This window comes from Homo sapiens, chromosome 17 (genome assembly GCF_000001405.40).
Source record: "Homo sapiens chromosome 17, GRCh38.p14 Primary Assembly".
Lineage (NCBI taxonomy): Eukaryota > Metazoa > Chordata > Mammalia > Primates > Hominidae > Homo > Homo sapiens.
Window position 1 is genome coordinate 15,944,552 of NC_000017.11, and position 13,914 is coordinate 15,958,465.

Genomic DNA, 13,914 nt, shown 5'->3' on the forward strand with positions numbered 1-13,914 from the left:
CGCTGGGAGGCGGCCGGAGGGGGCTGCAGCCCCCGAGGGCTCCTTGCAGTCCGGCCCCGCAGCCTGGAGACAGCTCCGGTGGTGCTGCGCTGCCCGAGACTGCTGCACGAGCGGGGACTGCGGCCTCGGCTCCCTGCCTGCCCGGCAGCCCCCCATCCAGTCGGCCTGCCCGGGGTGCGCAGGGTTAGCCTGGAGTGAGCTCGCCCCGCCCGGGGTTGCGCGGCCCTGGGGGGTCCTCTCGCGGCGGCTCCTGGGACCTGCTGGCGCCCCGGGCAGAGCCCGGCCCCATCCCAGGAGTCGCCCGGACTGGAAGGCAGTGCGAGCACTGGGACACAGCCTCCGAGCTCGAGCGTGACGGGAAGTTGGGGCAATTTGTTAGTTATCCGCCGCCACCAAGACGCGGCACGGCGCCTGGACCGGAGGGGCCCCGCGCGGGCGCGAACTTTGGGCTCGGGCGAGTGGGTGGTGCTCCGCCCAGCCCGAGACGGGCGGGCGCGCGGGCCAATGGGTGCCGCCTCTTGGCCGCGGGGGGCCCCGACCCGTGGGTCCCGGCCACCAGCGCCCCAGCCCCGAGGCTCAGAAGCGGCAGGCGGAGGCGCGGTCCGGGCGCTATGGCCATGCCCGGCGGGTCTCACGCGGCTGCCCCTCGCCCGGCGCGCCTTCGGTAGGGGGCGCCCGGGGCCCAGCTGGCCCGGCCATGCTGCTGGAGACACAGGACGCGCTGTACGTGGCGCTGGAGCTGGTCATCGCCGCGCTTTCGGTGGCGGGCAACGTGCTGGTGTGCGCCGCGGTGGGCACGGCGAACACTCTGCAGACGCCCACCAACTACTTCCTGGTGTCCCTGGCTGCGGCCGACGTGGCCGTGGGGCTCTTCGCCATCCCCTTTGCCATCACCATCAGCCTGGGCTTCTGCACTGACTTCTACGGCTGCCTCTTCCTCGCCTGCTTCGTGCTGGTGCTCACGCAGAGCTCCATCTTCAGCCTTCTGGCCGTGGCAGTCGACAGATACCTGGCCATCTGTGTCCCGCTCAGGTGAGGCGCTCGGCGTCGCCCGAACTCGGGGCCCCGTCGGAGCTCCGAAATGGGTCGTCTTCTCCAGGCCGGGGTTCCTCCCTCGGGGGCCCCAGACGGGCCAGGCTGGGGGCGCGCGGGGCGCTTGGAGGGCTGGTTCCCAGCCTGGCCACCCCGCAACGCTAGACCAGTGCGCCCGGGCACCCAAGACATCCCAGATGCGCGTCGCTCTAAGGAGATCTGCGTAGGGACAGCTCTAGGGGGTCCGGGGAGTGCGGTCCCCGGCGCCCGGGGAGGCGCCGTGGAAACCCCGGGGAAAGCGTCACCCCCGGGGAAAGCGTCACCCCCGTGGGCGGGTGGAGCCCGGGGCGCGGGAGTTTTGGTGATCACATCTCCACTCCTGCCACGAAGGCCGTTCCTAACACTCGCCCGCAGCGGCGGTGCAGCGGCAGTCCCGTGAGTGCTGCGGCTCCCGGAGGCCCGGGAGGTTCCCACTAAGGGCAAGGCAACTTTGGACGCTGGGCATTCGCACCGTCAGAATGGACACGCATGAGCCAGCTTCAGAACGTGTCTGCTGCGGAGAGGCGGCCCGGCCCATCCCAGGGGAAGGTGTCCGTTAACTTTGGGGAACGCTACGGACTCAGATTATATACTTTTAAAAGGAGTTACAATGCTTCCTCGTGTCTGGCAAACGGCCTTACAGCCTCACTGCCCTTGTGTAACTATTTATCTCCTGCTGCCCTGTTGGGAGCGGGCTGAGAAGTGCAGAAAATGGTGGCGAACTTACTTGTCCACTCTTTCTCCCACACTGAGAAAATCTAGGATTCAGGGGATGGAGTCAGCCAGCGACCAGAGTGGATTCCCAGTTGGAGCTGATGACTTCAACATTGAGAGTTTGTTGAAAGTATTTATTCTCTGTCTTTGGTGCCTGGGCCACTTTGGCATTTCTGAGGAGAGCTTGAGATCTCTTTAAATTTGGAGCTGAGACAGGGAAACTAAATCACAGAGTAGGAAGGAAGGGAAGGAATTCATTTATTGGGTGCCAACTCTGTGCAGACAGTTTATAATAAACGTGTCCCCAGCAGTCCTTGCAGTAGTACCAGAGGACGGGTGCTGTAACCTTCATCTCGTAGAGGAGGGGTGATGGCCCAGGGAGGTTGGAGTCTTGCCCAGGATGGTGTATCAGGGATGGGTGTCAGAGCCGGGGCTTGAACTCACAGCTGGCACCGTGTCCCCACCCATGCCATCAGGCCACTCTGCAAGGCCATGTGTGGCACCGTGTTTAGGAGTCAGGGAGAAAAGTGCTCTGCTGTTTTGGGAGGAGGAGCCTGCCTGCAGTAAACTGGTGGTTGTAGGGGAATGTGTTTGTGGGAATGGAGCCGGAGAATGCTCCCAGAGGCCATTTGAGTAGGCAGATGTGTTGGGCCTGGTCCTTGCAGGTTGTTTCGTGGGTCCCAGCAGGAACAGGAGCCTCCTGCTTGGGAGGGCTGTGAGCCTTATGTGGGTGTCTGGCCACTCCATGTGCTGCTGCCCGTGCTGTTGGACCAGGAGGCCTTATGTCTCCCATCAGGTGTGACAGCCCAGGGATTTCCAAGGCTTAGGGAGGACAGCAGTTTCTTCTCTCTCTTCTGGATCCCTTCCCTGCCTTTTGGTGTCATCGTTGTTACTTGATGGCATTTTGGATGTTTTGCATCCAGCAGAGCAGTCACAAGCCCCAGCCTGAGTTGTCCATCTAATGGAAACCCCTTGGACTTGCCCTGGCAGAGACCAGAGACCCAGAGAGGAGTTAGTGGAACAATCTCCCAGGCCACAGGGAGCAGGAAGTTCCATGAAAGTTTAAATCTGTTCCTTCTTGTCCTGGTTTGTGCTGGGTGAGGTCTTGAAAAAAATGGGTGTGGGTGTGTTAAGGGGAAAGTGCTGTGAATCACAGGCCCTGAGCTTCTTTGCATTGCCAAGGGCAGGAGGGAAGAACACTGAGGCTCGCCCCATCCTGCCTTCCTGGCCCGTCCAGAGCTTGGAGGTCTGGAAGAGGTGCACAGGCAGTCCCCAGCTCCCTGCCCCAGAGTTAGTCGTCTGACCTGGCCACAGCACCACCCCAACCCTGGTGGGTGGGAGAGGTGTACTAGGGCCCCCAGGGCTTCCCTCTCAGGGGCTGGTGCCTGGGGCAGGCCTTCCCTCAGCTGGCCTAGCAGTTCATGGCCCCTTGGGAAGAGGTTAAAATACAGATTACAGGGCCTCACCTGGTTGTACTGAATCAGAATCTCTGGAGTGGGTGTCGAGGGGATTCCAGCAGTGGGATCTTTAACCAGGGACATTTGGGTCCAGCGATCTAAGAATCCTCCTAGATTCAGGGCCTGAAGCTTTCCTCACTTGACTGACACAGGCTGGGTGCATGGCGCCCCAAGCACTGACTTGGCCCTGAGGCCTTCCTGGGGTTGTGGAACTCCAGGTGAGAGTAAAGTTGGAAGTGCCCTGTTTGGGAGGAGGTGTGTCCCCTTTGAAGCCAAGCAATAAGGAGGGTGAGGTGCAGGGAGTGAGGGCTAAAGGCTTAGGCTAGGACAGTCCTGGGACCTACCCCCAGTTCCTCCCGGTTCGAGGGCTCCAAGTGTGAGGCCTGTGGCCGCAGAGACCACAGCCCCCACCTGCCACCGCATTGCCAAGGTGTTTACTGATGTGACAGATGACAGTGTAGAAGGGAGGGGAGCCGGAGGGAATGCCAGGGACAAATATGACGCCCTTGGCCTGGCCCTTTGCCTTCAGGACAGGGCTGGCCACAAACAGAAGTCCATTGCCTCTGGTTCAAGTCCATAGACAATTCCTGATGTTGGGCCCTGGCGGCGGGGGGCTCCAGTCCCCAGTGGTGCCGACGGGAGTGGGCGTGTAGCTCCTGGGCTGGGGGAGGTGGACGTGTACAGGCAGGAGGGTGTGGGCCATGCCCAAAGCTGCTCCCAGCTCTCACTTCACCCTCAGGCAGGAGCACTTCCTCCTCCCTGCTTGAATCCTGTTCCTTTCATGCCACACCCACTGTGGGGGTCTTCGCTGCTTGTAGACCCAGTTTCCCTGGCCCTGTGGCATTGAGTCTCTGGCAGGGCTGAGGCCAGCTGTTTTCCTAGTGGAGCTGAAAGAGGGTGGATCCGGGAGGGTTTAGTTGGCCGAATGGGTCCAGTGCCGTGTATCTGACCTGTCCCTGGACCCTGCCCAGTCACCCTCTCTGCTCTTGCCACATTGAGGCTTTTCTCTGTGCCTCACGTATCTGGTCTTTGAGGTAGGGATTAAAGACCTCTTAGCAAGACTTTGTGCTTAGGGTAGGAGTTGGCGGGGGGTTCTGAATGTTTTTCAAAACTTAAAAAAATTGAGCTATAGGGCCGGGCACGGTGGCTCACGCCTGTAATCCCAGCACTTTGGGAGGCTGAAGAGGGTGGATCACCTGAGGTCAGGAGCTCGAGACCAGCTTGGCCAACATGGTGAAACCCTGTCTCTACTGAAAATATAAAAATTAGCTGGGTGTGGTGGTGGGTGCCTGTAATCCCAGCTACTTGAGAGGCTGAGGCAGGAGAATCGCTTGAACCCGGGAGGCAGAGGTTGCAGTGAGCCAAGATCACGCCATTGCACTCCACCTTGGGCAACAAGAGCAAAACTCTGCCTCAAAAAAAAAAAATTGAGCTATAGTCCAGGCACAGTGGCTCACGCCTGTAATCCCAGTGCTTTGGGAGGCCAAGGCGAATAGATCAGTTGAGGCTAGGAGTTTGAGACCAGCCTGGCCAACATGGCGAAATCCCGTCTCTACTAAAAATACAAAAATTGGCTGGGTGTGGTGGTACACGCTTGTAATCCCAGCTACTCGGGAGGCTGAGGCAGGAGAATTGCTTGAACCCAAGAGACAGAGGTTGCCGTGAGCCAGGATCACACCGCTGCACTCCAGCCTGGGCAACAGAGTGAGACTGTGTCTCACACATACACAAAAAATTAAGCTATAATTCCCGTCCCATAAAATTCACTGGTAATGTTCGAAATAAAGCTTGGCAGGGGCTGGATACGGTGGCTCACACCCGTAATCACAGCATTTTGGGAGGCCGAGGCAGGTGGATCACCTGAGGTCAGAGTTCGAGACCAGCCTGGCCAACATGATGAAACCCCGTCTCTACTAAAAATACAAAAATTAGCCGGGCGTGGTGGCACGCGCCTGTAATCCCAGTTACTAGGGAGGCTGAGACAGGAGAATTGCTTGAACCCAGGAGGTGGAGGTTGCAGTGAGCCCCAGCCTGGGTGACAATAGCGAAACTCTGTCTCAAAAAAAATAAAAAATAAAAAAGCTTGGCAGGAAGATTTCTGGCTCTGGGTTGTATCCTCCAGCTTTCCCAAGAGCTCCCTCCTTGGGTTCACCCTTCTGCATCAGTGTTACCTTTCTCTTCCAGATCATTCCCATGGTAATGGGTTGGATGATGGCCCCCTGCAAAACGTATGTCCATATTTTAATTCCCAGAACCTCTGACTATTCCCTTATATGGCCAAAACAAAAAACAACCAACCAAAACCCCACAAATACTGCTTTCTGTGGATCTTGAGAGAAGGAGCTTATTTGGATTATCTGGGCGGCCTCTTAATGCATTTGCACTCTTAGAAGATAAATCTGCAGAGAAGGCCGTTTGAAGGTGGAGGCCACAGCCAAGGAATGAAGGATGGCCACCAGAAGCTGGAAGAGGCAACAGATCCTCCTTTGGAACCTCTGGCAGGAGCGTGGCCCACACCTGGAAGTCAGCCTTCTCGCCCTGCTTGTTTTAAGCCACTAGGTTTGTGGGGCTTTGTCAGAGCAGCACCAGGAAGCCACCCATCAGTACACGAATATACCCCTAGATCAACGCCCCTTCACTTCCTCATCCACTCCTTTGCCTCCCCCCTGGCAAACTCTGCCACTTGTTACCAGGATGCCACTGAATTCTCCTGTCAGGTCACCCATGCGCCATCCCTCTTTTGGCAGAATCGAGCAGTCACTTCCCGGACCTCGTTGAACATGTTCTCTCAGCAGCTCCTGGTGGGCACTGTGGGCCCCCAGCTGGACTCCTGCTCCCCTGTAACCACTCCACACAGCAGCCAGACGGGATGACTTAAAACCTAAGCCACATCATACCGTTCCCCTGCTTACCACGCTGCAGAGACACAGAGAGTGAAATCCCTATGCCCTACCCTAGCCTGAGGCTGTGCATGGTCGGCCTTCACCCCCCAATTCTCACTCACCACGGCCAAGTTATATTCCCACCCATGGTCTTTGCACCCCCGTTCCTCACTTCACCCACCTGGAGAGGCTTCTCAGCCACTGCATTGGTTTACCGCCATCTCTAGTTATCCCATTAAACCATGTCCTTACTCAGAGTCTCTCTGCGCCCAGTGTGCTAGCCTTGTGGGCAGGGGCCTTACACCCCAGGATGCAGCGCGATGCCGGCACAGGCTAGGAAAGCACATTGTGGATGAATGCATGAGTGACTGGGTGAAAAGGGCACATGTCAGGCTACGTCATGCCCGGGGAACAGCTGGACAGGTGGGAAGGGAGGGTCCGAGACAGCAGGTGTACAGTGAGGGCCCAAGGGCTCTGTGAAACGCCAGAAGAGGAGCTGCCCCCACAAGTTCTAATGATCGGAAGACAGGAAAACCGTCTTCTGAAAACATCTCTCATGGGCCTAAGGGACAAAAGGGTGGAGAGGAGTGCAGAGGTGTCCGGGGACTGCCAGGCAGCCAGCAGGGGCTGTGGGCCAGAGGCCCAGGCTGAGGCCAGGGGCTGCAGACACGCGGGACGTGGCCCATGGGCCCTGGCTCCTGGTCCCATGCACAGGCCAGGAGCCACCCTGTTACCTGCATCAGGGCATCACCCAAGCCTGAGTGTTACTTTGCTGTCATTTGTCCTCCATTGTTAGCACACAGTCCTCCCAACTCCACTTCCCAGGCCATGTAGCAACCTTAAAACCAGCAGGTGCTGTTTATAATCCTGCTGGGGCCTCCAGCTGACATAAGGGGCTGGTTCCTGGCATGTTGATTCCAGAGGACACACACATGGCTAGGCAGGGGCCAAGGTCTGATTTGGTCAGTGAGGTCCTCAAATGTGTCTTGGAACCAGGTCAGAACTGGGGTAATTCAATCCAGAGGATACCTGAAGGCCCTCTCCCTTCGGGGAGGGTAGAGTCAGCCTGACCTGGCTGGTCATCAGGAGCACATGGGAACTGGAGGGCAGGGGAGATGGAGGTGGACTTGGTGTGCGTGGGGGTGCTGTGGACAGGTTCCCTCTGAAGGAGGCCGGGAAGGAGGGCCCGCTCAAGCCACCCTGGGCCCTGCCCTGAGACCGGAGCCTGGAGCTGCTCCCAGAGGGCAGAGGCCTCCTCTGCAGACCAGGCACAGTCTGCAGCAGCTCTGCATGCCTGGAGGTGGCCTGGTGCCCTGGAGCAGCACAGCCAGGGAAACACCGCCTGGCCTCATGCTGTGGACATTCCCACTGAATTCTGAAAAGGACAGTGGCTGCCTTTGGTTGTCTGGAGAAGAGGGTAAATGAAAAAAAAGTCAACATTTTCCCACTACAGATCACCTGGCTCCTTTCTCGGTGACCACGTGCAGGGCAGGACCCAATCCCTGTATCTCACTCTTCTCATTTGTCAGTTTATTATCACAGCATGGGTGTACACTGCAGGGACAGATATGGGGAAGTGTCCTCAGCTATTCTGGACATAGAGATTTTCAGTCTTGTGAATGGCAGCCATTGTTCCCAAGCCGTTTCTGGGTGCCAGGCACCTTACATCCCTAATCTCCTTTGATCTTTGCGACCGCCCTATGGGAGCAGATGGAGTTATCTTCACCACCTCACAGATAAGAAGATGGAGGTGCAGAAAATTATGTTTAGCCCAGGGTCACACGGAAGCCGGGACTGAGGCAGCCTATCTTCCCAGGAGCCCTTAACCATCATGTGAGCAGCTGGAGGGAAGGACTGCACACCCCGAGGTCACCCCCAAACACCCCCTTGATGAGGGGTCCCTTCTAGTGGTGGATGAATAAGGACACTGGCAAATTGTGATTAGATTCCTTTAATTATTACCTGGACAAAGAAGACTCCAGCTAACCTGTCAAATGGACGAGTGAGGAAAGAAGCTAAGCCCTGGCCAATGTGAATGGAATCTCACAGCATTTGCCTGACAGCTGTGAGGCTTTGTGGATCTCCTCCCACCTGCACCTTCCTCGGATTGGGGAACTGAGGCCCAACCTTTCCTTTTGCCTCAGATTTATTAGTGACTCCAGAATTAGGCTTTAGCCATGGTTATTCTCTCCTAAATTATTAACTCGATAGGCTCTTGGACTCCGAGGCTAACCAGCTGGAGACAGCGCCACGGGCAGCGGGAACTCAATGGCAAATAGCAAATGTATCTTCTTGGACAGAATTAAAGTGGAGAACAGCCTGTCCCAGGCACGGGCGGGCAGGCTTCCACTCAGTCTAGGCTGAGGGGCAGGGCTTTTTCTGGAGGGTGGAGGGTTGAGTGGTGTGGTAGGTGGGAGGAAAGTGCCTGCAGAGCTGGGAGTGCAGGGTGCGCAGGAGCAGGGGGACTCCTGAGCTGGCCTGGCACCTTGGGTGCTTCGCACCCGTGAGTGGGCATGGGATTTGGGCTGTGGTGGGGGACGGGCCAGGGAGCAGGCAGCTCGAGGAGGGCCTTGAGCTTGCTGAGGGTTTTGGATTTTGTCCTGAAGGTGCTGGTGAGTCCATGAATGAGTCGCATTTATTATCTTCTATTTTTTTGAGTTAGAAATCAACCAGTGGGCATAGAAGTAAACAGTCAAAAGTACAAAAAGGCCCAAAAGGGAAAGCAAGAGACCCCCACCAGTCCCTCTGCCGGGGGCAGCCCCCAGCCTGTTTCTCTTGGCATTTGCCCCGAGGGGCGCTCTGGGCTGAGCCCTGGTTTTGTGCTGCCATCTTGAAGCAGAATCTGTTGACTCCCCACTGTGAACCGCCAGGCCCGTGGCTCATGCCAGCCTTCTCCCCTATGCCCCACTTGAATTTCTGTTATGTTTTGATTTTTTTCCTGTGGACATTTCGGCCTGTGTTTCTGTCAAGTGGTGATTATATTTGCTGACTGTCAAGAAAAACAAGGAAGAACGTGTCCCCCATTCCTTTCCCAGGTCTGCTCCTGGTTTCTGTGAGCCGCGCTGTTACTGTGAGCGCGCTGCCTCTCAGGAAGTCTTCCTTGTGAAAGGTAACTCGTGCTGCTGGAAAGAAGCTGACACTGCACAGGGGGAAGCTGTAGAGTTGTCCCCTGTCTTGGATCTCTGCTTTCCTACTTTGCCTGTCAGAGGCAGCCACTATTTCTCATGGCTTCCTCTGCACAGATGGTGTATTGAACACATTTGCATTATACCATGACTTTTATGCTGTTAAGGTTTATACCATTTACATTTTTTTTTTTTTGAGACAGAGTCTCGCTCTGTCGCCCAAGCTGGAGTGCAGTGGTGCAATCTCACCTCACTGCAACCTCCGATTCCCAGATTCAAGCAATTCTCCTGCCTCAGCCTCCCGAGTAGCTGGGATTACAGGCACGTGCCACCACGCCTGGCTAACTTTTGTATTTTTAGTAGAGACGGGGTTTCACCATATTGGCCAGGCTGGTCTCGAACTCCTGACCTCAGGTGATCCACCTGCCTCGGTCTCCCAAAGTGTTGGGATTACAGGTGTGACCCACTGCGCCTGGCCAGGATCCTATTTTTAGATGCCATCCATTACTCAGACATTACTCAAAATTATGTCACATTTTAGCCTGCTTCAGGTTTACCATCTGGAAATTAGAAAGTTAAAGTAGGAAGCATGCCTTCCCACATCCTCGTGATCACCCAGCTTCTTAATCACCCTCATGCTGAGCCTCCTCACCCCTTTGCTATGTGTGCCACACAGCCGCTAGGGCTTCCTTTACTGTGCCCTTGGAGTGGTTCCAGCATTTCCTGCATTCCATGTTCTCTTTCCTCTTTCTAGGATTTCATATTTGTTAGACACGAGGATAAACTTTCTGGGTTCTTATATGTCAAAAATGTTTTTTTGGCCTGGTGCAATGGCTCGCACCTGTAATCCCAGCCCTTTGGGAGGCTGAGGCAGGAGGATCGCTTGAGCCCAGGAGGTTGAGGCTGCAGTGAGCTGCATTCACACCACTGCACTCCATCCTGGGCAACAGAGTGAGACCCTGTCTCAAAAAAAATTTTTTATTTCTCACATATGATTGGTTGGTTGATAGATTGTGGTTCGGAAGTGTTTTCCCTCAGATGTCTGAAGGGGTTGCTGTAACACCCAGTGTTGCTCACAAAGTCTGGTGTGTAATGATTCTTACTTGTAACTTGTATCTCTCCTCTGGGAACCTTTGGGATCATTTGTTTTTCCTTGGTGTTCTGAAATTTTGTGAGACTGGGTCTAAATGGTAACTCTTACTTTTTTTTTTCATTGAGGATGGCACTAGTAGGTAGGTGAACCTTGCCAATTTGAAGACTTAGGTCTGTCTTCAGCTCTGAAATTTTCAAAGAATACAGTTGACCCTTGAACAACTTGGGTTTGAACTGTGTGGGTTCACTTAAAATGGATTTTTTTTCAACCAAACACAGATTGAAAATACAGTATTTGCGGGTTGTGAACCCGAGTACACAGAGGGCCAACTTTTCCTGTAGTGGGGCTCTTGGGGCCAACTTCAGGATTTGATTACATACGGATTTTGGAGTACTTGGGTGCCCTGGGACAAATCCCCTGTGTATACCAAGTGAAAACTGTATTTTCTTAATTAATTCCTTATCTCCATTTCCTCTGTTCTTTTCTCTGGGATTCTTTTTTTGTTTTTTTTGTTTTTTTTTTTCGAGACAGAGTCTCGCTTGTTGGCCAGGCTGCAGTGCAGTGGCACGATCTGGGCTCACTGGCTCACTGCAACCTCCATCTCCCGGGCTCAGGCAATTCTCCTGCCTCACCCTCCCGAGTAGCTGGGACTACAGGCATGTACCACCAAGTCCGGCTGTATTTTGTATTTTTTAGTAGAGACGGGGTTTCACCATGTTGGCCAGGCTGGTCTTGAACTCCTGACCTCAAGTGATCCACTCACCTTGGCCTCCCAAAGTTGTGGGACCACAGGCGTGAGCCACCACACCTGGCCGCCTCTGGGATTCTTTTTTTTTTTTTTTTGAGATGGAATCTTGTTCTGTCACCCAGGCTGGAGTGCAGTGGCACAATCTTGGCTCACTGCAACTTTCACCTCCCGGGTTCAAGTGATTCTCCTGCCTCAGCCTCTCGAGTAGCTAGGATTACAGGCGTGCACCACCACACGTGGCTAATTTTTTGTATTTTTGGTAGAGATGGGGTTTCACCATATTGGCCAGGCTGGTGTCGAACTCCTGACCTCAAGCGATCTGCCTGCCTCGGCCTCCATAAATGCTGGGATTACAGGCGTGAGCCACGCCTCTGGGATTCTTAATAGGCAGATGGGGACGTCCCCTCCTTTCCTGATCACTGTTCTCTGACAGTTCCCAGTGCTTTCTCATTCTTTGTAAGAGTTTCTTCGCTTTTTTTCCTTTGTTCTTCTATTTTTCAATACAATTTTAGCATTCATATGTTTACTTTTGATGAAGACTAAGGGATTTTAAATTGACTTTGAAAAACATTTTTTAGATTCACATGGTTGAGATTCCTCGTGTGGCAGAGTGTACATAACCTAAACTCTTCCCCTCCCCCACCCGTTATCACTAGGTCTCTAGCCACAGCTTGGGGAGAGTGTGGGAGGGGGAGGGGATCAATGCCACAGCTCCCAAAGCTTGCCCACAGGCTGTCTTCCTCTTGACATCTGTTCTTTTCTTAATCCCATTCTGATCCCTGCTGTTTGCTAGACTGGAGCCTCTCATCCTGGCCATCCATGTTTCCAATTTAGGGTTCCATGGTTCATGCTGATGATCCTGTCCACCTTCTGTTTTTAGAAACTCATAAAAATCTCCGGTTTGCTGATATCATCCTCTACTTCTTTTTTTAGGATGATTATGTGTGTCTTTTTTTTTTTTTTTTTTTTTTTTGAGACAGTTTTGCTCTTACTGCCCAGGCTGGAGTGCAATGGTGCAGTCTTGGCTCACTGCAACCTCTGCCTCCTGGGTTCAAGCGATTCTCTTGCCTCAGCCTCCCAAGTAGCTGAGATTACGGGCACATGCCACCAACGATGCCCAGCTGATTTTTGTGTTTTTAGTAGAGACGGGGTTTCACCATGCTGGTCAGGCTGGTCTCAAACTCCTGACCTCAGGTGTTCTACTCGCCTCGGCCTCCCAAAGTACTGGGATTACAGGCATGAGCCACCGCACCCGGCCTGTGTGTCTTTACTGTCATTAAAATGTGATTTTGTGAGGAGTGATAATTAGGTGGAACTTGGAATGCCAAGGTACAATTTTAATCTGGAGTTTGATATGGTCAGGTTTGCATTGTAAAAGTCACTGGTGGACAGCTGAAGGAAGGAATGGACGGGACAAGATGATATAGGGTAGCCACTTGGCATCCAGATGAGAAGGAAAAAAGCATGACCAGGGCAGAGGCCATGGAGATGGCAGCAGACTCTACAGATATTGGAGACTCGTAGAACCACAATTTCTGCACCAGAGAAGGCTGATGTTTGATGCCAGCCATGGAGTTCAGCAGTCTGGAGCAGAGGAGCCACAGGTAAAATCATATAGGAAAGAGTCCTGAGAACCACAGATGGGCCCTGGAGCCACAATCAGTGAGTGACACCTAGAAATGTGGGTAGTTAGGGCCAGGCTGAGTGGAATTGATGTGCGTGAGATCTGCCATTGTGGAGCAGTAATGAGTCAGCATGAGTGACTGGCAAGCAGATCTGATCGATAGCACATAGTCGTGTGCTTCTGGCTGGAAGACAGGGCACACGGGACAGGTTCAAGAGGACTTGGTGACTCAGTTGGATGTGGACATGAAGGAGAAGAAGACTCCAGGATGACTCCCAGATTTCCGGTCGCCTGGGTGATGCCATCCTGAAGATGGGGGCTTTGGGAAGGTGTTGCCTAGGTTGTGTTTAAGGTGCCTGCAGGTTGAGAGACGCAGTAGTGGTCGAGTCTTGGGGAGTCTGGGGCTGCTAGTTCTTCCACCTGGCTCTGGACCCAACTCCTGCTTTATGGGAGCCCTGGACCGTTCATTATTCCTGCACAGCAGCCTCTTCCCTTCCCCATTTAAATGTGTTCAAACTCCTCCCACCCGTCTCCGCCCAACCTTCTTTGGTGTGCCACCTGTTTTGCGCCAGTCCCGCCACCTGCAGACTTCCCAAAGCAGCTTTCTGTCTATGACATCCTGATTTCCACTGCTGATTTTAGCACCACTGCTGAGTGTTTTTTTTTGTTTGTTTGTTTTGTTTTTTAAACATAGAGAACTACAAAGCTTTATTGAACGACATTGTAGAACCAGGACCTGTCAGGTACACTTCCTTTTTTTTTTTTTTTCTTGAGACAGAGTTTCACTCTTGTTGCCCAGGCTGGAGTACAATGGTGCGATCTTGGTCACCGCAACCTCTGTCTCCCAGGTTTAAACGATTCTCCTGCCTCAGCCTCGCGAGTAGCTGGGATTACAGGCGTGCGCCACTGCATCCGGCTAATTTTGTATTTTCAGTAGAGACAGGGTTTCTCCATGTTGGTCAGGCTGGTCTCAAACTCCCAACGTCAGGTGATCTGCCCACCTCGGCCTTCCAAAGTGCTGGGATTGCAGGCGTGAGCCACCACGCCCGGCCCAGGTACACTTCTTAAACTCTCCCTCCATTCACTTCTCTTAGGCCCCATCTCCACGTCTGCCCCATTCCAGGGCAGCATTCTCCTATCTGGTCTCTCCGCATCCATCCTTGTTCTTTTAGCCCATTCTTCACATAGCTGCAATCTTTC

At 54.1% G+C, this 13,914-nt stretch overlaps 1 protein-coding gene across 6 annotated transcripts in view, besides 4 other annotated features; it reads left to right on the plus strand.

Annotated features, from left to right (window-relative positions):
• Nucleotides 1–13,914, plus strand: part of ADORA2B (adenosine A2b receptor) — a 125,385-nt gene that overhangs the window by 94,190 nt on the left and 17,281 nt on the right. For 2 of the 6 annotated variants that reach the window (NM_000676.4, XM_047435375.1), the window contains exon 1: nucleotides 579–1,032. The exons of 3 other annotated variants lie outside the window; for them this stretch is intronic. In NM_000676.4, the coding sequence (NP_000667.1) occupies nucleotides 698–1,032 (335 nt within the window). In that variant the 5' untranslated portion in view covers nucleotides 579–697. Of the gene's footprint in view, nucleotides 1–578; nucleotides 1,033–5,426; nucleotides 6,382–13,914 lie in introns of those variants that run through there. One more of the 6 variants, XM_011523661.3, reaches the window with a different exon arrangement.
• Nucleotides 135–754: a silencer, noted in NCBI's record as "silent region_8212". NCBI's record gives its function as "represses an Ori minimal core promoter by ATAC-STARR-seq in GM12878 lymphoblastoid cells {active_cell/tissue: GM12878}" and the evidence as "EXISTENCE:reporter gene assay evidence [ECO:0000049][PMID:35858748]".
• Nucleotides 135–1,396: a biological region, named in NCBI's record as "H3K27ac-H3K4me1 hESC enhancer GRCh37_chr17:15848447-15849261".
• Nucleotides 582–1,396: an enhancer, noted in NCBI's record as "H3K27ac-H3K4me1 hESC enhancer chr17:15848447-15849261 (GRCh37/hg19 assembly coordinates)". NCBI's record gives its function as "activates a minimal SCP1, AML or CMV promoter by ChIP-STARR-seq in primed H9 embryonic stem cells {active_cell/tissue: H9 hESC(primed)}" and the evidence as "EXISTENCE:reporter gene assay evidence [ECO:0000049][PMID:30033119]".
• Nucleotides 6,288–7,085: an enhancer, noted in NCBI's record as "H3K4me1 hESC enhancer chr17:15854153-15854950 (GRCh37/hg19 assembly coordinates)". NCBI's record gives its function as "activates a minimal SCP1, AML or CMV promoter by ChIP-STARR-seq in naive H9 embryonic stem cells {active_cell/tissue: H9 hESC(naive)}" and the evidence as "EXISTENCE:reporter gene assay evidence [ECO:0000049][PMID:30033119]".